This window comes from Homo sapiens, chromosome 7 (assembly GCF_000001405.40).
Source record: "Homo sapiens chromosome 7, GRCh38.p14 Primary Assembly".
NCBI classification, from domain to species: domain Eukaryota; kingdom Metazoa; phylum Chordata; class Mammalia; order Primates; family Hominidae; genus Homo; species Homo sapiens.
In genome coordinates, this window is record NC_000007.14 from 62,506,780 (window position 1) to 62,527,133 (window position 20,354).

At 37.0% G+C, this 20,354-nt stretch overlaps 20 annotated features.

Annotated features, from left to right (window-relative positions):
* Positions 430-1,003: an enhancer, noted in NCBI's record as "OCT4-NANOG-H3K27ac-H3K4me1 hESC enhancer chr7:61967587-61968160 (GRCh37/hg19 assembly coordinates)". NCBI's record gives its function as "activates a minimal SCP1, AML or CMV promoter by ChIP-STARR-seq in naive and primed H9 embryonic stem cells {active_cell/tissue: H9 hESC(naive and primed)}" and the evidence as "EXISTENCE:reporter gene assay evidence [ECO:0000049][PMID:30033119]".
* Positions 1,004-1,579: an enhancer, noted in NCBI's record as "OCT4-NANOG-H3K27ac-H3K4me1 hESC enhancer chr7:61968161-61968736 (GRCh37/hg19 assembly coordinates)". NCBI's record gives its function as "activates a minimal SCP1, AML or CMV promoter by ChIP-STARR-seq in naive and primed H9 embryonic stem cells {active_cell/tissue: H9 hESC(naive and primed)}" and the evidence as "EXISTENCE:reporter gene assay evidence [ECO:0000049][PMID:30033119]".
* Positions 1,580-2,153: an enhancer, noted in NCBI's record as "OCT4-NANOG-H3K27ac-H3K4me1 hESC enhancer chr7:61968737-61969310 (GRCh37/hg19 assembly coordinates)". NCBI's record gives its function as "activates a minimal SCP1, AML or CMV promoter by ChIP-STARR-seq in naive and primed H9 embryonic stem cells {active_cell/tissue: H9 hESC(naive and primed)}" and the evidence as "EXISTENCE:reporter gene assay evidence [ECO:0000049][PMID:30033119]".
* Positions 2,154-2,729: an enhancer, noted in NCBI's record as "OCT4-NANOG-H3K27ac-H3K4me1 hESC enhancer chr7:61969311-61969886 (GRCh37/hg19 assembly coordinates)". NCBI's record gives its function as "activates a minimal SCP1, AML or CMV promoter by ChIP-STARR-seq in naive and primed H9 embryonic stem cells {active_cell/tissue: H9 hESC(naive and primed)}" and the evidence as "EXISTENCE:reporter gene assay evidence [ECO:0000049][PMID:30033119]".
* Positions 2,730-3,303: an enhancer, noted in NCBI's record as "OCT4-NANOG-H3K27ac-H3K4me1 hESC enhancer chr7:61969887-61970460 (GRCh37/hg19 assembly coordinates)". NCBI's record gives its function as "activates a minimal SCP1, AML or CMV promoter by ChIP-STARR-seq in naive and primed H9 embryonic stem cells {active_cell/tissue: H9 hESC(naive and primed)}" and the evidence as "EXISTENCE:reporter gene assay evidence [ECO:0000049][PMID:30033119]".
* Positions 2,730-3,338: a biological region, named in NCBI's record as "OCT4-NANOG-H3K27ac-H3K4me1 hESC enhancer GRCh37_chr7:61969887-61970460".
* Positions 3,089-3,338: a silencer, noted in NCBI's record as "fragment chr7:61970246-61970495 (GRCh37/hg19 assembly coordinates)". NCBI's record gives its function as "represses an EF-1alpha promoter that drives an FKBP-Casp9 reporter gene in an ReSE screen in phorbol 12-myristate 13-acetate-treated (for megakaryocytic differentiation) K562 erythroleukemia cells {active_cell/tissue: K562(+PMA)}" and the evidence as "EXISTENCE:reporter gene assay evidence [ECO:0000049][PMID:32094911]".
* Positions 3,304-3,879: an enhancer, noted in NCBI's record as "OCT4-NANOG-H3K27ac-H3K4me1 hESC enhancer chr7:61970461-61971036 (GRCh37/hg19 assembly coordinates)". NCBI's record gives its function as "activates a minimal SCP1, AML or CMV promoter by ChIP-STARR-seq in naive and primed H9 embryonic stem cells {active_cell/tissue: H9 hESC(naive and primed)}" and the evidence as "EXISTENCE:reporter gene assay evidence [ECO:0000049][PMID:30033119]".
* Positions 3,880-4,453: an enhancer, noted in NCBI's record as "OCT4-NANOG-H3K27ac hESC enhancer chr7:61971037-61971610 (GRCh37/hg19 assembly coordinates)". NCBI's record gives its function as "activates a minimal SCP1, AML or CMV promoter by ChIP-STARR-seq in naive and primed H9 embryonic stem cells {active_cell/tissue: H9 hESC(naive and primed)}" and the evidence as "EXISTENCE:reporter gene assay evidence [ECO:0000049][PMID:30033119]".
* Positions 4,485-4,986: an enhancer, noted in NCBI's record as "OCT4 hESC enhancer chr7:61971642-61972143 (GRCh37/hg19 assembly coordinates)". NCBI's record gives its function as "activates a minimal SCP1, AML or CMV promoter by ChIP-STARR-seq in primed H9 embryonic stem cells {active_cell/tissue: H9 hESC(primed)}" and the evidence as "EXISTENCE:reporter gene assay evidence [ECO:0000049][PMID:30033119]".
* Positions 5,660-6,194: an enhancer, noted in NCBI's record as "OCT4-NANOG hESC enhancer chr7:61972817-61973351 (GRCh37/hg19 assembly coordinates)". NCBI's record gives its function as "activates a minimal SCP1, AML or CMV promoter by ChIP-STARR-seq in naive and primed H9 embryonic stem cells {active_cell/tissue: H9 hESC(naive and primed)}" and the evidence as "EXISTENCE:reporter gene assay evidence [ECO:0000049][PMID:30033119]".
* Positions 6,768-7,304: an enhancer, noted in NCBI's record as "OCT4-NANOG hESC enhancer chr7:61973925-61974461 (GRCh37/hg19 assembly coordinates)". NCBI's record gives its function as "activates a minimal SCP1, AML or CMV promoter by ChIP-STARR-seq in naive and primed H9 embryonic stem cells {active_cell/tissue: H9 hESC(naive and primed)}" and the evidence as "EXISTENCE:reporter gene assay evidence [ECO:0000049][PMID:30033119]".
* Positions 7,420-8,116: an enhancer, noted in NCBI's record as "OCT4-NANOG-H3K27ac hESC enhancer chr7:61974577-61975273 (GRCh37/hg19 assembly coordinates)". NCBI's record gives its function as "activates a minimal SCP1, AML or CMV promoter by ChIP-STARR-seq in naive and primed H9 embryonic stem cells {active_cell/tissue: H9 hESC(naive and primed)}" and the evidence as "EXISTENCE:reporter gene assay evidence [ECO:0000049][PMID:30033119]".
* Positions 8,117-8,812: an enhancer, noted in NCBI's record as "OCT4-NANOG-H3K27ac hESC enhancer chr7:61975274-61975969 (GRCh37/hg19 assembly coordinates)". NCBI's record gives its function as "activates a minimal SCP1, AML or CMV promoter by ChIP-STARR-seq in primed H9 embryonic stem cells {active_cell/tissue: H9 hESC(primed)}" and the evidence as "EXISTENCE:reporter gene assay evidence [ECO:0000049][PMID:30033119]".
* Positions 8,855-9,776: an enhancer, noted in NCBI's record as "OCT4-NANOG hESC enhancer chr7:61976012-61976933 (GRCh37/hg19 assembly coordinates)". NCBI's record gives its function as "activates a minimal SCP1, AML or CMV promoter by ChIP-STARR-seq in primed H9 embryonic stem cells {active_cell/tissue: H9 hESC(primed)}" and the evidence as "EXISTENCE:reporter gene assay evidence [ECO:0000049][PMID:30033119]".
* Positions 11,048-11,735: an enhancer, noted in NCBI's record as "OCT4-NANOG hESC enhancer chr7:61978205-61978892 (GRCh37/hg19 assembly coordinates)". NCBI's record gives its function as "activates a minimal SCP1, AML or CMV promoter by ChIP-STARR-seq in primed H9 embryonic stem cells {active_cell/tissue: H9 hESC(primed)}" and the evidence as "EXISTENCE:reporter gene assay evidence [ECO:0000049][PMID:30033119]".
* Positions 11,736-12,423: an enhancer, noted in NCBI's record as "OCT4-NANOG hESC enhancer chr7:61978893-61979580 (GRCh37/hg19 assembly coordinates)". NCBI's record gives its function as "activates a minimal SCP1, AML or CMV promoter by ChIP-STARR-seq in primed H9 embryonic stem cells {active_cell/tissue: H9 hESC(primed)}" and the evidence as "EXISTENCE:reporter gene assay evidence [ECO:0000049][PMID:30033119]".
* Positions 14,172-14,699: an enhancer, noted in NCBI's record as "OCT4-NANOG hESC enhancer chr7:61981329-61981856 (GRCh37/hg19 assembly coordinates)". NCBI's record gives its function as "activates a minimal SCP1, AML or CMV promoter by ChIP-STARR-seq in primed H9 embryonic stem cells {active_cell/tissue: H9 hESC(primed)}" and the evidence as "EXISTENCE:reporter gene assay evidence [ECO:0000049][PMID:30033119]".
* Positions 18,772-19,374: an enhancer, noted in NCBI's record as "OCT4-NANOG hESC enhancer chr7:61985929-61986531 (GRCh37/hg19 assembly coordinates)". NCBI's record gives its function as "activates a minimal SCP1, AML or CMV promoter by ChIP-STARR-seq in naive H9 embryonic stem cells {active_cell/tissue: H9 hESC(naive)}" and the evidence as "EXISTENCE:reporter gene assay evidence [ECO:0000049][PMID:30033119]".
* Positions 19,476-20,087: an enhancer, noted in NCBI's record as "OCT4-NANOG hESC enhancer chr7:61986633-61987244 (GRCh37/hg19 assembly coordinates)". NCBI's record gives its function as "activates a minimal SCP1, AML or CMV promoter by ChIP-STARR-seq in naive H9 embryonic stem cells {active_cell/tissue: H9 hESC(naive)}" and the evidence as "EXISTENCE:reporter gene assay evidence [ECO:0000049][PMID:30033119]".

Sequence of the window (20,354 nt, forward strand, 5' to 3'; positions counted from 1 at the left end):
GAATTCTCAGTAACTTCTTTGTGTTGTGTGTATTCAACTCACAGAGTGGAACGTCCCTTTACACAGAGCAGATTTGAAACACTCTTTTTGTGGAATTTGCAAGTGGAGATTTCAAGCGATTTGATGCCAACAGTAGAAAAGGAAATATCTGCAAATAAAAACAAGACAGAATCATTCTCAGAAAGTGCTTTGTGATGTGTGCGTTCGACTCACAGAGTTTAACCTTTCTTTTCATAGAGGACTTTGGAAACACACTGTTTGTAAAGTCTGCAAGTGGATATATGGACCTGTTTGAGGCCTTCGTTGGAAACGGGATTTTATCATATAATGCTAGACGGAAGAATTCTCAGTAAATTCTTTGTGTTTTGTGCATTCAACTCACAGAGTGGAACGTCCCTTTAGACAGAGCAGATTTGAAACACTCTTTTTGCGGAATTTGCAAGTGGAGATTTCTAGCCATTTGATGCCAACAGTGGAAAGGGAAATATCTTCAAATAAAAACTAGACAGAATCATCCTCAGAAAATTCTTTGTGATGTGTGCGTTCAACTCACATAGTTTAACCTTTCTTTTTATAGAGCAGTTTGGAAACACTTTGTTGGTAACGTCTGCAAGTGGATATATGGAACGCTTTGAGGCTTTCGTTGGAAACGGGATTTCTTCATTTCATGCTAGACAGAAGAATTCTCAGTAACTTCTTTGTGTTGTGTGTATTCAACTCACAGACTGGAACGTCGCTTTACACAGAGCAGATTTGAAACACTCTTTTTGTGGAATTTGCAAGTGGAGATTTCAAGCGATTTGATGCCAACAGTAGAAAAGGAAATATCTGCAAATAAAAACAAGACAGAATCATTCTCAGAAAGTGCTTTGTGATGTGTGCGTTCAACTCACAGAGTTTAACCTTTCTTTTCATAGAGGAGTTTGGAAACACACTGTTTGTAAAGTCTGCAAGTGGATATATGGACCTGTTTGAGACCTTCGGTGGAAACGGGATTTTAACATATAATGCTAGACGGAAGAATTCTCAGTAAATTCTATGTGTTGTGTGCTTTCAACTCACATAGTTTAACCTTTCTTTTCATAGAGCAGTTTGGAAACACTCTGTTGGTAATGTCTGCAAGTGGATATATGGACCGCTTGGAGGCTTTCGTTGGAAACGGGATTTCTTCATTTCATGCTAGACAGAAGAATTCTCAGTAACTTCTTTGTGTTGTGTGTATTCAACTCACAGACTGGAACGTCCCTTTACACAGAGCAGATTTGAAACACTCTTTTTGTGGAACTTGCAAGTGGAGATTTCAAGCGATTTGATGCCAACAGTAGAAAAGGAAATATCTGTAAATAAAAACAAGACAGAATCATTCTCAGAAAGTGCTTTGTGATGTGTGCGTTCAACTCACAGAGTTTATCCTTTCTTTTCATAGAGGAGTTTGGAAACACACTGTTTGTAAAGTCTGCAATTGGATATATGGACCTGTTTGAGGCCTTCGTTGGAAACGGGATTTTATCATATAATGCTAGACGGAAGAATTCTCAGTAAATTCTTTGTGTTGTGTGCATTCAACTCACAGAGTGGAACGTCCCTTTAGACAGAGCAGATTTGAAACACTGTTTTTGCGGAATTTGCAAGTGGAGATTTCTAGCCATTTGATGCCAACAGTAGAAAGGGAAATATCTTCAAATAAAAACCAGACAGAATCATTCTCAGAAAATTCTTTGTGATGTGTGCGTTCAACTCACATAGTTTAACCTTTCTTTTCATAGAGCAGTTTGGAAACACTCTGTTTGTAAAGTCTGCAAGTGGATATATGGACCGCATTGAGGCCTTCGTTGGAAACGGGATTTCTTCATTTCATGCTAGACAGAAGAATTCTCAGTAACTTCTTTGTGCTGTGTGTATTCAACTCACAGAGTGGAACGTCCCTTTACACAGAGCAGATTTGAAACACTCTTTTTGTGGAATTTGCAAGTGGAGATTTCAAGCGATTTGATGCCAACAGTAGAAAAGGAAATATCTTCAAATAAAAACTAGACAGAATCATTCTCAGAAACTACTTTGTGATGTGTGCCTTCAACTCACAGAGTTTAACCTTTCTTTTCTTAGAGCAGTTTAGAAACACTCTGCTTGTTATGTCTGCAAGTGGATATTTGGACCTCTTTGAGGGCTTCGTTGCAAACGGGGTTTCTTCCTTTCATGCTAGACTAAGAAGAGTTCTCAGGAACTTTTTTGTGTTGTGTGTATTCAACTCACAGAGTTGAACCTTGCTTTAGAGAGAGCAGATTTGAAACACTCTTGCTGTGGCATTTTCAGGTGGAGATTTCAAGCGATTTGAGGACAATTGCAGAAAAGGAAATATCTTCGTATAATAACCAGACAGAATCATTCTCAGAAAGTGCTTTGTGATGTGTGCGTTCAACTCACAGAGTTTAACCTTTCTTTTCATAGAGGAGTTTGGAAACACACTGTTTGTAAAGTCTGCAAGTGGAAATATGGACCTGTTTGAGGCCTTCGTTGGAAACGGGATTTCTTCATTGAATGCTAGACGGAAGAATTCTCAGCAAATTCTTTGTGTTGTGTGCATTCAACTCCCAGAGTGGAACGTCCATTTAGACAGAGCAGATTTGAAACACTCATTTTGCGGAATTTGCAAGTGGAGATTGCTAGCCATTTGATGCCAACAGTAGAAAGGGAAATATCTTCAAATAAAAACTAGACAGAATCATCCTCAGAAAATTCTTTGTGATGTGTGCGTTCAACTCACATAGTTTAACCTTTCTTTTCATAGAGCAGTTTGGAAACTCTCTGTTGGTAATGTGTGCATGTGGATATATGGACCGCTTTGAGGCCTTCGTTGGAAACGGGATTTCTTCATTTCATGCTAGACACAAGAATTCTCAGTAACTTCTTTGTGTTGTGTGTATTAAACTCACAAACTGGAACGTCCCTTTACACAGAGCAGATTTGAAACACTCTTTTTGTGGAATTTGCAAGTGGAGATTTCAAGCGATTTGTTGCCAACAATAGAAAAGGAAATATCTGCAAATAAAAACTAGACAGAATCATTCTCAGAAAGTGCTTTGTGATGTGTGCGTTCAACTCACAGAGTTTAACCTTTCTTTTCATAGAGGAGTTTGGAAACACACTGTTTGTAAAGTCTGCAATTGGATATATGGACCTGTTTGAGGCCTTCGTTGGAAACGGGATTTCTTCATTGAATGCTAGACGGAAGAATTCTCAGTAAATTCTTTGTGTTGTGTGCATTCAACTCACAGAGTGGAACGTCCCTTTAGACAGAGCAGATTTGAAACACTCTTTTTGCGGAATTTCCAAGTGGAGATTTCTAGCCATTTGATGCCAACAGTAGAAAGGGAAATATCTTCAAATAAAAACCAGACAGAATCATTCTCAGAAAATTCTTTGTGATGTGTGCGTTCAACTCACATAGTTTACCTTTCTTTTCATAGAGCAGTTTAGAAACACACTGTAAAATCTGCAAGTGGATATATGGACAGTTTTGAGGCATTCGTTGGAAACGGGATTTCTTCATTTAATGCTAGACAGAAGAATTCTCATTAACTTCTTTGTGTTGTGTGTATTCAACTGACAGAGTGGAACGTCCCTTTAGACAGAGCAGATTTGAAACACTCTTTTTGTGGAATTTGCAAGTGGACATTTCAATCGATTTGATGCCAGCAGTAGAAAAGGAAATATCTTCAAATAAAAACTAGACAGAATCATTCTCAGAAACTACTTTGTGATGTGTGCCTTCAACTCACAGAGTTTAACCGTTCTTTTCTTAGAGCAGTTTAGAAACTCTCTGCTTCTTATGTCTGCAAGTGGATATTTGGAACTCTTTGAGGCCTTCGTTGCAAACCGGATTTCTTCATTTAATGCTAGACTAATTAGAGTTCTCAGTAACTTTTTTGTGTTGTGTGTATTCAACTCACAGAGTTGAACCTTGCTTTAGAGAGAGCAGATTTGAGACACTCTTGCTGTGGAATTTTCAGGTGGAGATTTCAAGCGATTTGAGGACAATTGCAGAAAAGGAAATATCTTCGTATAAAAACCAGACAGAATCATTCTCAGAAAGTGCTTTGTGATGTGTGCGTTCAACTCACGGAGTTTAACCTTTCTTTTCATAGAGCAGTTTGGAAACACACTGTTTGTAAAATCTACGAGTGGATATTTGGACCTCTTTGAGGCCTTCATTGGAAATGGGATTTTTTCATATAATGCTAGACGGAAGAATTCTCAGTGAATACTTTGTGTTGTGTGGATTCAACTCACAGAGTGGAACGTCCCTTTAGACACAGGAGATTTGAAACACTGTTTTTGTGGAATTTGCAAGTGGAGATTTCAAGCAATTTGATGCCAACAGTAGAAAGGGAATTATCTTCAAATAAAAACTAGACAGAATAATTCTCAGAAAATTCTTTGTGATGTGTTCGTTCAACTCCCATAGTTTAACATTTCTTTTCATACAGCAGTTTGGAAACACTCTGTTTGTAAAGTCTGCAAGTAGATATATGGACCGTTTTGCGGCCTTCTTTGGAAACGTGATTTCTTCATTTAATGCTAGACAGAAGAATTCTCAGTAACTTCTTTGTGTTGTGTGTATTCAACTCACAGGGTGGAACGTCCCTTTACACAGAGCAGATTTGAAACACTCTTTTTGTGGAATTCGCAGGTGGAGATTTCAAGCGATTTGATGCCAGCAGTAGAAAAGGAAATATCTTCAAATAAAAACTAGACAGAATCATTCTCAGAAACTACTTTGTGATGTGTGCCTTCAATGCAGAGAGTTTAACCGTTCTTTTCTCAGAGCAGTTTAGAAACACTCTGCTTGTGATGTCTGCAAGTGGATATTTGGACCTCTTTGAGGCCTTCGTTGCAAACCGGATTTTTTCATTTAATGCTAGACAGAAGAGTTCTCAGTAACTTATTTGTGTTGTGTGTATTCAACTCACAGAATTGAACCTTGCTTTAGAGAGAGCAGATTTGAATCACTCTTGCTGTGGAACTTTCAGGTGGAGATTTCAAGCGATTTGAGGACAATTGCAGAAAAGGAAATATCTTCGTATAAAAACCAGACAGAATCATACTCAGAAAGTGCTTTGTGATGTGTGCGTTCAACTCACAGAGTTTAACCTTTCTACTCATAGAGCAGTTTGGAAACACATTCTTTGTAAATTCTGCAAGTGGATATTTGGACCTCTTTGAGGCCTTCGTTGGAAAAGGCATTTTTTCATATAATGCTAGACGGAAGAATTCTCAGTAAATTCTTTGTGTTGTGTGCATTCAACTCACAGAGTGGAACGTCCCTTTAGACAGAGCACATTTGAAACACACTTTTTGTGGAATTTGTAGGTGGAGGTTTCAAGCGATTTCATGCCAACAGTAGAAAAGGAAATATCTTCATGAAAAACTAGACAGAATCATTCTCAGAAAATTCTTTGTGATGTGTGCGTTCAACTCACATAGTTTAACCTTTCTTTTCATAGAGCAGCTTGGAAACACTCTGTTTGTAAAGTTTGCAAGTGGGTATATGGACCGCTTTGAGGTCTTCGTTGGAAACGGGATTTCTTCATTTCATGCTAGACAGAAGAATTCTCAGTAACTACTTTGTGTTGTGTGTATTCAAGTCACAGCGTGGAAAGTCCCTTTAGACAGAGCAGATTTGAAACACTCTTTTTGTGGAATTTGAAGTGGAGATTTTAAGCGATTTGATGCCAACAGTAGAACAGGAAATATCTTCAAATAAAAACTAGACAGAATCATTCTCAGAAACTCCTTTGTGATGTGTGCCTTCATCTCACAGAGTTTAACCTTTCTTTTCTTAGAGCAGTTTAGAAACACTCTGCTTGTAATGTCTGCAAGTGGATATTTGGACCTCTTTGAGGCCTTCGTTGCAAACGGGATTTCTTCATTTGATGCTAGAGAGAGGAGTTCTCAGTAACTTATTTGTGTCGTGTGTATTCAACTCACAGAGTTGAACCTTGCTTTAGAGAGAGCAGATTTGAAACACTCTTGCTGTGGAATTTTCAGGTGGAGATTTCAAGTGATTTGAGGACAATTGCACGAAAGGAAATATCTTCGTAGAAAAACAAGACAGAATCATAATCAGAAACTGCTTTGTGATGTGTGCTTTCAACTCACAGTGTTTAACCTTTCTTTTCATAGAGCTATTCGGAAACACTCTATTTGTAATGTCTACAAGAGTATATTTGCACTTCTTACAGGTCTTCGTTGGAAACGGTTTTTCTTCATTCAGTGCTAGACAGAAGAATTCTCAGTAACTTCTTTGTGTTATGTGGATTCAACTCACAGAGTTCAACCTTCGTTTTGACAGAGCAGATTTGAAACACTCTTTTTGTGGAATTTGAAATTGGAGAATTCAAGCGATTTGTTGCCAACAGTAGAAAAGGAAATATCTTCGAATAAAAACTAGACAGAATTATCCTCAGAAACTAGTTTGTGATGTGTGCGTTCAACTTACATTGTTTAACCTTTCTTTTATAGAGCAGTTTGGAAACACTCTGTTTGTAATGTCCGCAAGAGGATATTTGGACCTCTTGGAGGATTTCGTTGGAAACGGGATTGCTTCATATAATGCAAGACGGAAGAATTTTCAGTTACTTGTTTGTGTTGTGTGTATTCAACTCACAGAGTGGAACGTCCCTTAAAACAGAGCAGATTTGAAACACTCTTTTTGCGGAATTGGCTAGTGGAGATTTCAAGCGATTTGGTGCCAACGGTAGAAAACGAAATATCTTCAAATAAAAACTAGACAGAATAATTAACAGAAACCACTTTGTGATGTGTGCATTCAACTCACAGAGTTTAACCTTTCTTTTCATAGAGCAGTTTGGAAACACACTGTTTGTAAAGTCTGCAAGTGGATATTTGTACCTCTTTGAGACCTTCCCTGGAAACGGGATTTTTTCATATAATGCTACACGGAAGGATTCTCAGTAAATTCTTTGTGTTGTGTGCATTCAACTGACAGAGTGGAACGTCCCTTTAGACAGAGCAGATTTGAAACACTCTTTTTGCGGAATTTGCAAGTGGAGATTTCAAGCGATTTTATTCCAACAGTAGAAAGGGAAATATCTTCAAATAAAAACTAGACAGAATTATTCTCAGAAACTACTTTGTGATGTGTGCGTTCAACTCACATTGTTTAACCTTTCTTTTCATAGAGCAGTTTGGAAACACTCTGTTTGTAATGTCCGCAAGAGGATATTTGGACCTCTTGGAGGATTTCGTTGGAAACGGGATTGCTTCATATAATGCAAGACGGAAGAATTTTCAGTTACTTGTTTGTGTTGTGTGTATTCAACTCACAGAGTGGAACGTCCCTTAAAACAGAGCAGATTTGAAACACTCTTTTTGCGGAATTGGCTAGTGGAGATTTCAAGCGATTTGGTGCCAATGGTAGAAAACGAAATATCTTCAAATAAAAACTAGACAGAATAATTAACAGAAACCACTTTGTGATGTGTGCATTCAACTCACAGAGTTTAACCTTTCTTTTCATAGAGCAGTTTGGAAACACACTGTTTGTAAAGTCTGCAAGTGGATATTTGTACCTCTTTGAGACCTTCCCTGGAAACGGGATTTTTTCATATAATGCTACACGGAAGGATTCTCAGTAAATTCTTTGTGTTGTGTGCATTCAACTGACAGAGTGGAACGTCCCTTTAGACAGAGCAGATTTGAAACACTCTTTTTGCGGAATTTGCAAGTGGAGACTTCAAGCGATTTTATTCCAACAGTAGAAAGGGAAATATCTTCAAATAAAAACTAGACAGAATTATTCTCAGAAACTACTTTGTGATGTGTGCGTTCAACTCACATTGTTTAACCTTTCTTTTCATAGAGCAGTTTGGAAACACTCTGTTTGTAATGTCTGCAAGTGGATATTTGGACCTCTTGGAGGATATCGTTGGAAACGGGATTGCTTCATATAATGCAAGACGGAAGAATTTTCAGTTGCTTGTTTGTGTTGTGTGTATTCAACTCACAGAGTGGAACGTCCCTTAAAGCAGAGCAGATTTGAAACACTCTTTTTGTGGAATTGGCTAGTGGAGATTTCAAGCGATTTGTTGCTAACGGTGGAAAACGAAATATCTGGAAATAATAACTAGACAGAGTAATTAACAGAAACCACTTTGTGAGGTATGCATTCAACTCACAGAGTTTAACTTTTCTTAGAGCAGTTTAGAAACACTCTGCTTGTAATGTCTGCAAGTGGATATTTGGACCTCTTTGAGGCCTTCGTTGCAAACGGGATTTCTTTATTTAATGCTAGACAGAAGAGTTCTCAGTAACTTATTTGTGTTGTGTGTATTCAACTCACAGAATTGAACCTTGCTTTAGAGAGAGCAGATTTGAAACACTCTTGCTGTGGAATTTTCAGTTGGAGATTTCAAGGGATTTGAGGACAATTGCAGAAAAGGAAATATCTTCGTATGAAAACCAGACAGAATCATACTCAGAAAGTGCTTTGTGATGTGTGCGTTCAACTCACAGAGTTTAACCTTTCTACTCATAGAGCAGTTTGGAAACACACTCTTTGTAAATCCTGCAAGTGGATATTTGCACTTCTTACAGGTATTCGTTGGAAACGGGATTTCTTCATTGAGTTCTAGACAGAAGAATTCTCAGTAACTTCTTTTTGTTATGTGGATTCAACTCACAGAGTTGAACCTTCGTTTTGACAGAGCAGATTTGAAACACTCTTGCTGTGGAATTTTGAGGTGGAGATTTCAAGCGATTTGAGGACAATTCCGGAAAAGGAAATATCTTCGTATAAAAACCAGACAGAATCATACTCAGAAAGTGCTTTGTGATGTGTGCGTTCAACTCACGGAGTTTAACCTTTCTTTTTATAGAGCAGTTTGGAAATACTCTGTTTGTAAAGTCTGCAAGTGGATACTTGGACCTTTTTGAGGCCTTCGTTGGAAACGGGATTTTGTCATATAATGCTAGACGGAAGAATTCTCAGTAAATTCTTTGTGTTGTGTGCATTGAACTCACAGAGTGGAACGTCCCTTTAGACTGAGCAGATTTGAAACACTCTTTTTGTGGAATTTGCAAGTGGAGATTTCAAGCGATTTGATGCCAACAGTAGAAAAGGAAATATCTTCAAATAAAAACTAGACAGAATCATTCTCAGAAAATTCTTTGTGATGTGTGCATTCAACTCACATCCTTTAACCTTTCTTTTCATAAAGCAGTTTGGAAACACTCTGTTTGTAAATTCTGCAAGTGGATATATGGACCGCTTTGAGGCCTTCTTTGGAAAAGGGATTTCTTCATTTAATGCTAGACAGAAGAATTCTCATTAACTTCTTTCTGTTGTGTGTATTCAACTCACAGAGTGAAACGTCCCTTTAGACAGAGCAGATTTGAAACACTCTTTTTGTGGAATTTGCAAGTGGATTTTTCAAGCAATTTGATGCCAACAGTAGAAAAGGAAATATCTTCAAATAAAAACTAGACAGAATCATTCTCAGAAACTACTTTGTGATGTGTGCCTTCAACTCACAGAGCTTAACCTTTCTTTTCTCAGAGCAGTTTAGAAACATTCTGCTTGAAATGTCTGCAAGTGGATATTTGGACCTCTTTGAGGCCTTCGTTGCAAACGGTATTTCTTCATTTATGCTAGACAGAAGAGTTCTTAGTAACTTGTTTGTGTTGTGTGTATTCAGCTCACAGAGTTGAACCTTGCTTTACAGACAGCAGATTTCAGACTCTCTTGCTGTGGAATTTTCAGGTGGATATTTCAAGCGATTTGAGGGCAATTGCAGAAAAGGAAATATCTTAGTGTAAAAACCAGACAGAATCATTCTCAGAAAGTGCTTTGTGATGTGTGCGTTCAACTCACAGAGTTTAACCTTTCTTTTGAGAGAGGAGTTTTGAAACACTCTGTTTGTAATATCTGCAAGTGGATATTTGAACCTCTTTGAATCCTTCGTTGGAAACGGGATTTCTTCATGTAAATCTAGACAGAAGAATTCTGAGAAACTTCTTTCTGATGTTTTCATTCAACTCACAGGGTTGAACATTCCCTTCGATAGAGCAGTTTTGAAACACTCTTTTTGTAGAATTTCCAAGGGCATATTTAGAGTGCTTTCAGGCCTGTGGTAGAAAACAAAATATCTTCATATAAAACCTATATAAGATCATTCTCAGAAACCTCTTTGTGATATGTGGGTTCAAGTCACAGAGTTTGACCTTTCTTTTGACAGAGCAATTTTGTAACACTCTTTTTGAAGAATATGCAAGTGGATATTTTAAGCGCTTTGAGTCCAATAGTTGAAAAGGAAATATCTTCATATAAAAACTAGGCAGTATCATTCTCAGAAACTACTTTGTGATGTATGCGTTGGCCTCACCGAGTTTAACCTTTCTTTTGATAGAGCAGTTTTGGAACACTCTGTTTGTAACGGCTGCAAGTGAATATTTGGAACTATTGAGGCCTTCGTTGGAAACGGGATTTCTTCATATAAAGCTAGACATAAGAATTCTCAGAAACTCCTTTGTGATGTGGGTATTCAACTCACAGAGTTGAACATTCCTTTTGATATATCAGTTTTAAAACACTCTTTTTGTAGAATATGCAAGTTGATATTTAAAGCGCTTTGAAGCCTATAGTAGAAAAGGAAATATCTTAATACAAAACTAGACGGAACCATTATCAGACACTACTTTGTGATGTTTGGGTTCAAATCACAGAGTTTAACTTTTCTTTTTATAGAGCAGTTTTGAAACACTTTGTGAATTCTGCAGGTGGATATTAGGACCTCTTTGAGGCCTTCGTTGGAAGCGGGACTTCTTCATATAAAACTAGACAGAAGAATTCTCAGAAACTTCTTTGGAATGTGTGCATTCAACCCACAGAGATGAACCTTCCTTTGGATAGAACAGTTTGGAAACACTCTTTTTGTAGAATTTCCAAGAGCATATTTAGAGTGCTTTGAAGCCTTTGGTAGAAAACGAAATATCTGCATACAAAAACTAGACACAATCAATCTGAGAAACCACTCTGTGATGTGTGCATTCAGCACACAGAGTTTAACCTTTCCTTTGATAGAGCAGTTTGGAAACGCTCTTTTTGTAGAATTTGGAAGTGTGTATTTAGAGGGCTTTGGGGCCTATGGTAGAGAAGAAAATATCTTCACATGAAATCTAGACAGAAGCATTCTCAGAAACTTCTTTGTGGCGTTTGCATTCAAGTCACAGAGTTCAACATTCCTTTTGATAGAGCAGTTTTGAAACACTCTTTTTGTAGAATCTGCAAGTGGATATTTGGACCTCTTTGTGCCCTTCGTTGGAAACGGGATTAGTTCATACAAAACTAGACAGAAGAATTCTCAGAAACTCCTTTGTGATGTGTGCATTCAGCTCACAGAGTTGAAATTTCCTTTTGACAGAGCAGTTTTGAAACACTCTTTTTGTAGGATTTGCAAGTGGATATTTCAAGTGCTTTGAGGCCTATGGTAGAAAAGGATATATCTTCATATAAAAACTGGACAGAATCATTCTCAGAAACTACTTTGTGATGAGTGCATTGGCCTCACAGAGTTTAAGCTTTCTTTTGATAGAGCAGTTTTGAAAAACTCTGTATGTCATGTCTGCAAGTGGATATTTTGACCTCTTTAAGGCCTTCGTTGGAAATGGGATTTCTTCATTTAACTCTAGACAGAAGAGTTCTGAGAAACTCCTTTGTGATTTGGGCATTCATCTCACAGTGTTGAACCTTCCTTTTGATAGAGCAGTTCTGAAACACTCTTTTTGTAGAATTTCCAAGGGCATATTTAGAGTGTTTTGAAGCCTATGTTAGAAAAAGAAATATCTTCATATAAAAACTAGACACAATCATTCACAGAAAACTCTTTGTGATGTGTGGGTTCAACTCACAGAGTTTAACGTTTCTTGTGACCGAGCAGTTTTGTAACAGTCTTTTTGTAGAATATGCAAGTGGATATTTAAAGCGCTTTGAGGCCTCAGTAGAAAAAGAAATATCTTCATATAAAAACTAGGCAAAATCGTTCTCAGAAACTACTTGTGATGTGGGCATTCAACTCACAGAGTTTAACCTTTCTTTTGATAGAGCAGTTTTGAAACACTCTGTTTGTAAAGTCTGCAAGTGGATATTTGGACCTCTTTGAGGCCTTCGTTGGAAACGGGATTTCTTCATATAAAACTAGAAGGAAGAATTCTCAGAAACTACTTTGTGATGTGTGTATTCAACTCACAGAGTTGAACATTCCTTTCGATAGGTCAGTTTTGAAACACTCTCTTTGTAGAATATGCAAGTTGATATTTAAAGCACTTTGAGGCCTATAGGAGAAATGGAAATATCTTCATATAAAAACTAGACAGACCCATTCTCAGAAACTACTTTGTGATGTGTGCGTTCAACTCACAGAGATTAACTTTTCTTTTTATAGAGCAGTTTTGAAACACTCTGTTTGTTAATTCTGCAAGTGGATATTAGGACCTCTTTGAGGTCTTCTTTGGTAATGGGACTTCTTCATATAAAAGTAGACAGAAGAATTCTGAGAAACGTCTTTGGGATGTGTGCATTCAACTCGCAGAGTTGAACATTCTTTTCGATAGAACAGTTTGGAAACACCCTTTTGTAGAATTTCCAAGAGCATATTTAGAGTGTTTTGAAGACTTTGGTAGAAAACGAAATATCTTCATATAAAAACTAGACACAATCATTCTCAGAAACAAGTTTGTGATGTGTGCGTTCAATACACAGAGTTTTATCTTTCCTTATATAGAGCAGTTTGGAAACGCTCTTTTTGTAGAATTTGGAAGTGTGTATTTAGAGGGCTTTGGGGCCTATGGTAGAAAAGGAAATATCTTCACATGAAATCTAGACAGAAGCATTCTCAGAAACTTCTTTGTGGCGTTTGCATTCAAGTCACAGAGTTCAACATTCCTTTTGATAGAGCAGTTTTGAAACACTCTTTTTGTAGAATCTGCAAGTGGATATTTGGACCTCTTTGAGCCCTTCGTTGGAAACGGGATTTCTTCATTCAAAACTAGACAGAAGAATTCTCAGAAACTCCTTTGTGATGTGTGCATTCAGCCCACAGAGTTGAAAGTTCCTTTTGACAGAGCAGTTTTGAAACACTCTTTTTGTAGGATTTGCAAGTGAATATTTCAAGCGCTTTGAGGTTTATTGTAGAAAAGGAAATATCTTCGTATAAAAACTAGACAGAATCATTCTCAGAATCTACATTGTGATGTGTGCGTTTTCCTCACAGAGTTTAAGCTTTCTTTTGATAGAGCAGTTTTGAACCACTCTTTTTGTAGAATCTGCAAGTGGATATTTAGACCTCTTTGAGGCCTTCGTTGGAAACGGGATTTCTTCATATAAAACTAGACAGAAGAATTCTCAGAAACTCCTTTGTGATGTGTGCATTCAGCTCAGAGAGTTGAAACTTCCTTTTGTCAGAGCAGTTTTGAACCAGTCTTTTTGTAGGATTTGCAAGTGGATAGTTAAAGCGCTTTGAGGCCTATGGTCGAAAAAGATAAATCTTCCCATAAAAACTAGACGGAATCATTATCAGAAACTACTTTGTGATGTGTGCTTTGAATTCACAGAGTTTAAACTTTCTTTTGATAGAGCAGTTTGGAAACACTCTGTTTTTAATGTTTGCAAGTGGATATTTTGACCTCTTTAAGGCCTTCGTTGGAAACGGGCTTTCTTCATATAAATCTAGACAGAAGAATTCACAGAAACTTCTTTGTGATGTGAGCATTCAACTCACAGAGTTGAACCTTCCTTTCGATAGCTCAGTTTTGAAACACTCTTTTTGGAGAATTTCCAAGGACATATTTGGAGTGCTTTTAGGCCTATGGTAGAAAACGAAATATCTTCATTTAAAAACTAGGCAGAATCATTCTCAGAAACTACTTTATGATGTGTGCATTCAACTCGCAGAGTTTAACCTTTCTTTTGATAGAGCAGTTTTGAAACACTCTGTGTGTAATGTCTGCAAGGGGATATTTGGACCTCTTTGAGGCCTTAGTTGGAAACGGGATTTCTTCATATAAAACTAAACAGAAGAATTCTGAGAAACTTCTTTGTGATGAGTACGTTCAACTCACAGTGTTGAACCTTCCTTTTGATAGAGCAGTTTTGAATCACTCTTTTTGTAGAATTTCCAAGTGCATATTTAGAATGCTTTGAAGCCTATAGTAGAAAACCAAATATCTTCATATAAAAACTAGACAGAATCATTCTCAGAAACCAGTTTGTGTTGTGGGCATTCAACTCTCAGAGTTTAACCTTTCTTTTAATAGAGCAGTTTTGAAACACTCGTTTTCTAGAATATGCAAGTGGATATTTAAAGCGCTTTGAGGCCTACAGTAGAAAAGGAAATACCTTCATATACAAACTAGGCAGAATGATTCTCAGAAACTAATTTGTGATATGTGCGTTCAGCTCACAGAGTTTAACCTTTCTTTTGACAGAAGAGTTTTGAAACACTCTTTTTGTAGAATTTGCAAGTGTGTATTTAGAGGGCTTTGTGGCCTATGGTAGCAAAGGAAATATCTTCACTTAAAAACTAGACAGAAGCATTCTCAGAAACTTCTTTGTGATGTTTGGATTCATGTCGCAGGTTTCAACATTCCTTTTGATAGAGCAGTTTTGAAACACTCTTTTGGTAGAATCTGCAAGTGGATATTTGGACCTCTTTGAAGCCTTCATTGGAAATGGGAGTTCTACATATAAAACTAGACAGAAGAATTCTCAGAAACTTCTTTGTGATGTGTGCATTCATCTCACAGTGTTGAAACTTCCTTTCAATAGAGCAGTTTTGAAACACTCTTTTTGTGGGATTTGCAAGTGGATATTTAAAGCGCTTTGAGTCCTATGGTAGAAAAGTGTATATCTTCTTATAAAAACTAGACAGAATCCTTCTCAGAAACTAGTTTGTGATGTGTGCGTTCACCTCACAGAGTTTAACCTTTCTTTTGATAGAGCAGTTTTGAAACACTCTGTTTGTAATGTCTGCAAGGGGATATTTAGACCTCTTTGAAGCCTTCATTGGAAACGGGATTTCTTCATGTAAATCTACACAGAATAATTCTGAGAAACTTCTTTCTGATGTGTTCATTCAACTCACAGGGTTGAACATTCCCTTCAATAGAGCAGTTTTGAAACACTCTTTTTGTAGAATTTCCAAGGGCATATTTAGAGTGCTTTCAGACCTGTGGTAGAAAACGAAATATCTTCATATAAAAACTACACAGGATCATTCTCAGAAACCTCTTTGTGATATGTGGGTTGGAGTCACAGAGTTTAACCTTTCTTTTGACAGAGCAGTTTTGAAACACTCTTTTTGTAGTATATGCAAGTGGACATTTTAAGCGCTTTGAGGCCTATAGTTGAAAAGGAAATATCTTCATATAAAAACTAGGCAGTATCATTCTCAGAAACTACTTTGTGATGTATGCGTTGGCCTCACAGAGTTTAACCTTTCTTTTGATAGAGCAGTTTTGAAACACTCTGTTTGTAAAGTCTGCAAGTGGATAGTTGGATCTCTTTGAGGCCTTCGTTGGAAACGGGATTTCTTCATATAAAGCTAGACTGAAGAATTCTGAGAAACTCCTTTGTGATGTGGGTATTCAACTCACAGAGTTGAACATTCCTTTCGATAGACCAGTTTTAAAACACTCTTTTTGTAGAATATGCCTGTCGATATTTAAAGCACTTTGAGGCCTATGTTCAAAAAGAATAAATCTTCGTATAAATACTAGACAGAATCATTCTCAGAAACTACTTTGTGATGTGTGCGTTCAATTCACAGAGTTTACGCTTTCTTTTGATGGAGCAGTTTTGAAACACTCTGTTTGTTGATTCTGCAAGTGGATATTTTGACCTCTTCAAGGCCTTCGTTGGAAACGGGCATTTTTTGTATAAACCTAGACAGAAGAATTCTCAGAAATTTCTTTGTGATGTGAACATTCAACTCACAGAGTTGCACCTTCCTCTCGATAGAACAGTTTTGAAACACTCTTTTTGTAGAATTTCCAAGAGCATATTTAGAGTGCTTTGAAGCCTTTGGTAGAAAACGAAGTATCTTCATATAAAATCTATACAGAATCATTCTAAGAAAGCACTTTGTGATGTGTGCATTCAGCACACAGAGTTTAACATTTCCTTTGATAGAGCAGTTTTGTGACGCTCTTTTTGCAGAGTTTGGAAGTGTGTATTTAGAGGGCTTTGGGGCCTTTGGTAGAAAAGGAAATATCTTCACATGAAATCTAGACAAAAGCATTCTCAGAAACTTCTTTGTGGCGTTTGCATTCAAGTCACAGAGTTCAACATTCCTTTTGATAGAGCAGTTTTGCAACACTCTTTTTGTAGAATCTGCAAGTGGATATTTGGACTTCTTTGAGCCCTTCGTTGGAAACGGGATTTCCTCATACAAAAACAGACAGAAGAATTCTCAGAAACTCCTGTGTGATGTGTGTATTCAGCTCACAGAGTTGAAAGTTCCTTTTGACAGAGCAGTTTTGAAACACTCTTTTTGTTGGATTTGCAAGTGGATATTTCAAGTGCTTTGAGGCCTATGGTAGAAAAGGATATATCTTTGTATAAAAACTAGACATAATCATTCTCAGAAACTACTGTGTGATGTGTGCGTTGGCCTCACAGAGTTTAAGCTTTCTTATGATAGAGCAGTTTTGAAACACTCTGTTTGTCATGTCTGCAAGTGGATATTTTGACCTCTTTAAGACCTTCGCTGGAAACGGGATTTCTTCATTTAACTCTAGGCAGAAGAGTTCTGAGAAACTCCTTTGTGATGTGTGCATTCATCCCACAGAGCTGAACCTTCCTTTCAATAGAGCAGTTTTGAAACACTCTTTTTGTAGAATTTCCAAGGGCATATTTATAGTGTTTGGAAGCCTATTGTAGAAAATGAAATATCTTCATATAAAAACTAGACACAATCATTCTCAGAAACCTCTTTGTGATGTGTGGGTTCTACTCACAGAGTTTAACGTTTCTTGTGACTGAGCATTTTTGAAACAGTCTTTGTGTAGAATATGCGAGTGATATCTAAAGCGCTTAGAGGCCTCTAGTAGAAAAAGGAATATCTTCATATAAAACTAGGCACAATCGTTCTCAGAAACTGCTTGTTATGTGGGTATTCAACTCAGAGTTTAACATTTCTTTTGATAGAGCAGTTTTGAAACACTCAGTTTGTATAGTGTGCTAGTGGATATTTGGACCTCTAAGAGTCCTTCATTGGAAACGGGATTTCTTCATATAAATCTAGACAGAAGAATTATGAGAAACTTCTTTGTGATGTGTGCATTCAACTCACAGAGTTGAACCTTCCTTTCAATAGAGCAGTTTTGAAACACTTTTTTTGTAGAATTTCCAAGTGCATATTTAGAGTGGTTTGAAGCCTATGGTAGAAAATGAAATATATTCATATAAAAACTTGACAGAATAATTCTCAGAAACCACTTTGTGATGTGTGGGTTCAACTCACAGAGTTTATCCTTTCTTTTGACAGAGCAGTGTTGAAAAACTCTTTTTGTAGTATATGCAAGTGGAAATTTAAAGCGCTTTGAGGCCTACAGTAGAAAAGGAAATATCTTCATATAAAAACTGGGCAGAAATATTCTCAGAAACTACTTTGTGATGTGTGCATTCAACTCACAGTGTTTAACCTCTCTTTTGATACAGCAGTTTTGTTACACTCTGTTTGTGAAGACTGCAAGTAGATATTTGGACCTCTTTGAGGCCTTCGTTGGAAACGGGAATATCTTAGCATACAAACTGGATAGAAGAATTCTCAGAATCTTTTTGCAATGGGTATATTCAACTCACAGAGTTGAGCCTTCCTTTTGATAGAGCGCTTTTGAAACACTCTGCTTATGGAATTTCCAAGTGGAGAATTAGTGCGCTTTGAACCCTATGATACAAAAGGAAATATCTTCACATAAAAACTGGACAGAATCATTCTTAGAAACTACTTTATGATGTGTACGTTCAACTCACAGGGTTTAACCTGTCTTCTGATAGAGCAGTTCTGAAACACTTTTGTGTAGAATTTACAAGTGTGTATTTGGAGGCCTTTGGGGCCTATGGTAGAAAAGGAAATATCTTCATATAAAAGCTAGACAGAAGCATTCTCAGAAACTTCTTTGTGATATTTGCGTTCAACTCACAGAGTTGAACATTTCCCTTGATAGAGCAGATTTGAAACACTCTTTTTGTAGAATCTGCAAGTGGATATTTGGACCTCTTTGAGGCCGTCGTTGGAAACCGGATTTCTTCATATAAAACTAGACAGAAGAATTCTGAAAAACTTCTTTTTGAAGTGTGTATTCAACTCACAGAGTTGAACCTTCCTTTCAATTGAGCAGTTTTGATACACTCTTTATGCAGTGTGTCCAAGTTAATATTGACAGGGCTTGGAGGCCTACATTAGAAAAGGAAATCTCTTCATATAAAAACTAAACAGAATCATTCTCAGAAACTAGTTTGTGATGTGTGCGTTCATCTCACAGATTTTAACCTTTCTTTTGATAGAGCAGTTTTGAAACACTCTGTTTGTAAATCTGCAAGTGAATATTTGGAGTGCTTTGAGGCCTTCTTTGGAAACTTTAATATCTTCACATAAAAAGTAGACAGAAGTATTCTCAGAAACTTCTTTATGACGTCTGCACTCAACTCACAGAATTGAACCTTCCTTTTGATAGAGCAGTTTTGAAACACTGTTTTTGTAGATTTTGCAAGTGTGTATTCAGTGGGCTTAGAGGACTACGGTAGAAAATGAAGTATCTTCACAAAAAAAGTAGACAGAAACGTTCTCAGAAACTTCTTTGTGATGTTTGCATTTAACTCGCAGATTTCAACATTCCCTTTGATAGAGCAGTTTTGAAACACTGTTTTTGTAGTATATGCAAGTGGATATTTGGACCTGTTTGTGGCCTTCGTTGGAAACGGGATTTCTTCATGTAAAACTAGACAAAAGAATTCTCAGAAACTTCTTTGTGATGTTTGTATTCAAGTCACAGAGTTGAACCTTCCTTTAGACAGAGCAGTTTTGAAACACTCTTCTTGTAGAATTTCCAAGTGGATATTTAAGGCGCTTTGAAGCCTATGGTACAAAAGGAAATATCTTTATATAAAAACTAGACAGAATAATTCTCGGAAACTACTTTCTGATGTGTGCATTCAACTCACAGAGTTTAACCTTTCTTTTGATAGAGCGCTTTTGAAACACTCTGTTTGTAAAGTCTGCAAGTGGATATTTGTAGTGCTTTGAGGCCTTCTTTGGAAACGTTAATATCTTCACATAAAAAGTAGACAGAAGTATTCTCAGAAACTTCTTTATGATGTCTGCACTCAACTCACAGAGTTGAACCTTCTTTTGATAGAGCAGTTTTGAAACACTCTTTTTGTAGATTTTGCAAGTGTGTATTCAGTGGGCTTAGAGGCTTACGGTAGAAAACGAAATATCTTCACAAAAAAACTTGACAGAAGGGTTCTCAGAAACTTCTTCGTGACGTATGCATTTAACTCACAGAGTTCAACATTGCCGTTGATACAGCAGTTTTGAAACACTGTTTTTGTAGAATCTGCAAGTGGATATGTCGACCTGTTTGTGGCCTTCGTTGGAAATGGGAGTTCTTCATATAAAACTAGACAGAAGAATTCTCAGAAACTTCTTTGTGATGTGTGTCTTCAACTCACAGAGTTGAAACTTACTTTTGACAGAGCAGTTTTGAAACACTCTTTTTGTAGAATTTCCAAGTGGATATTTAAGGCGCTTTGAAGCCTATGGTTCAAAAGGAAATATCTTTATATAAAAACTAGACAGAATCATTCTCAGAAACTACTTTCCAATGTGTGCATTCAACTCACAGAGTTGAACCTTTCTTTTCATAGAGCACTTTTGAAACACTCTTTTTGTAGAATATACATGTGTTCATTTGGAGTGCTTTGAGGCCGTATGTGGAAAAGGAAATATCTACAAATAAAAACTAGACAGAAGCATTCTCAGAAACTTCCTTGTGATGTGTGCATTCAAATCTCAGAGTTGAACCTTCATTTTGAGAGAGCAGTTTTGAAACTGTCTTTCTGCAGAATCTGCAAGTGGATATTTGCAGCGATTTGAGACCTAAGTGAAAAAGAATATATCTTCACCTAAAAACTTGACAGAAGCATGCTCAGAAACTTTTTTGTTATGTGTACATTCAAGTAACAGAGTTGAACCTTTCTTTTGTTAGCGCAGTTTTGAAACACTCCTTTTGTGGAATCTGCTTATAATTATTTGGAGCTCTTTGAGGCCTTCTTT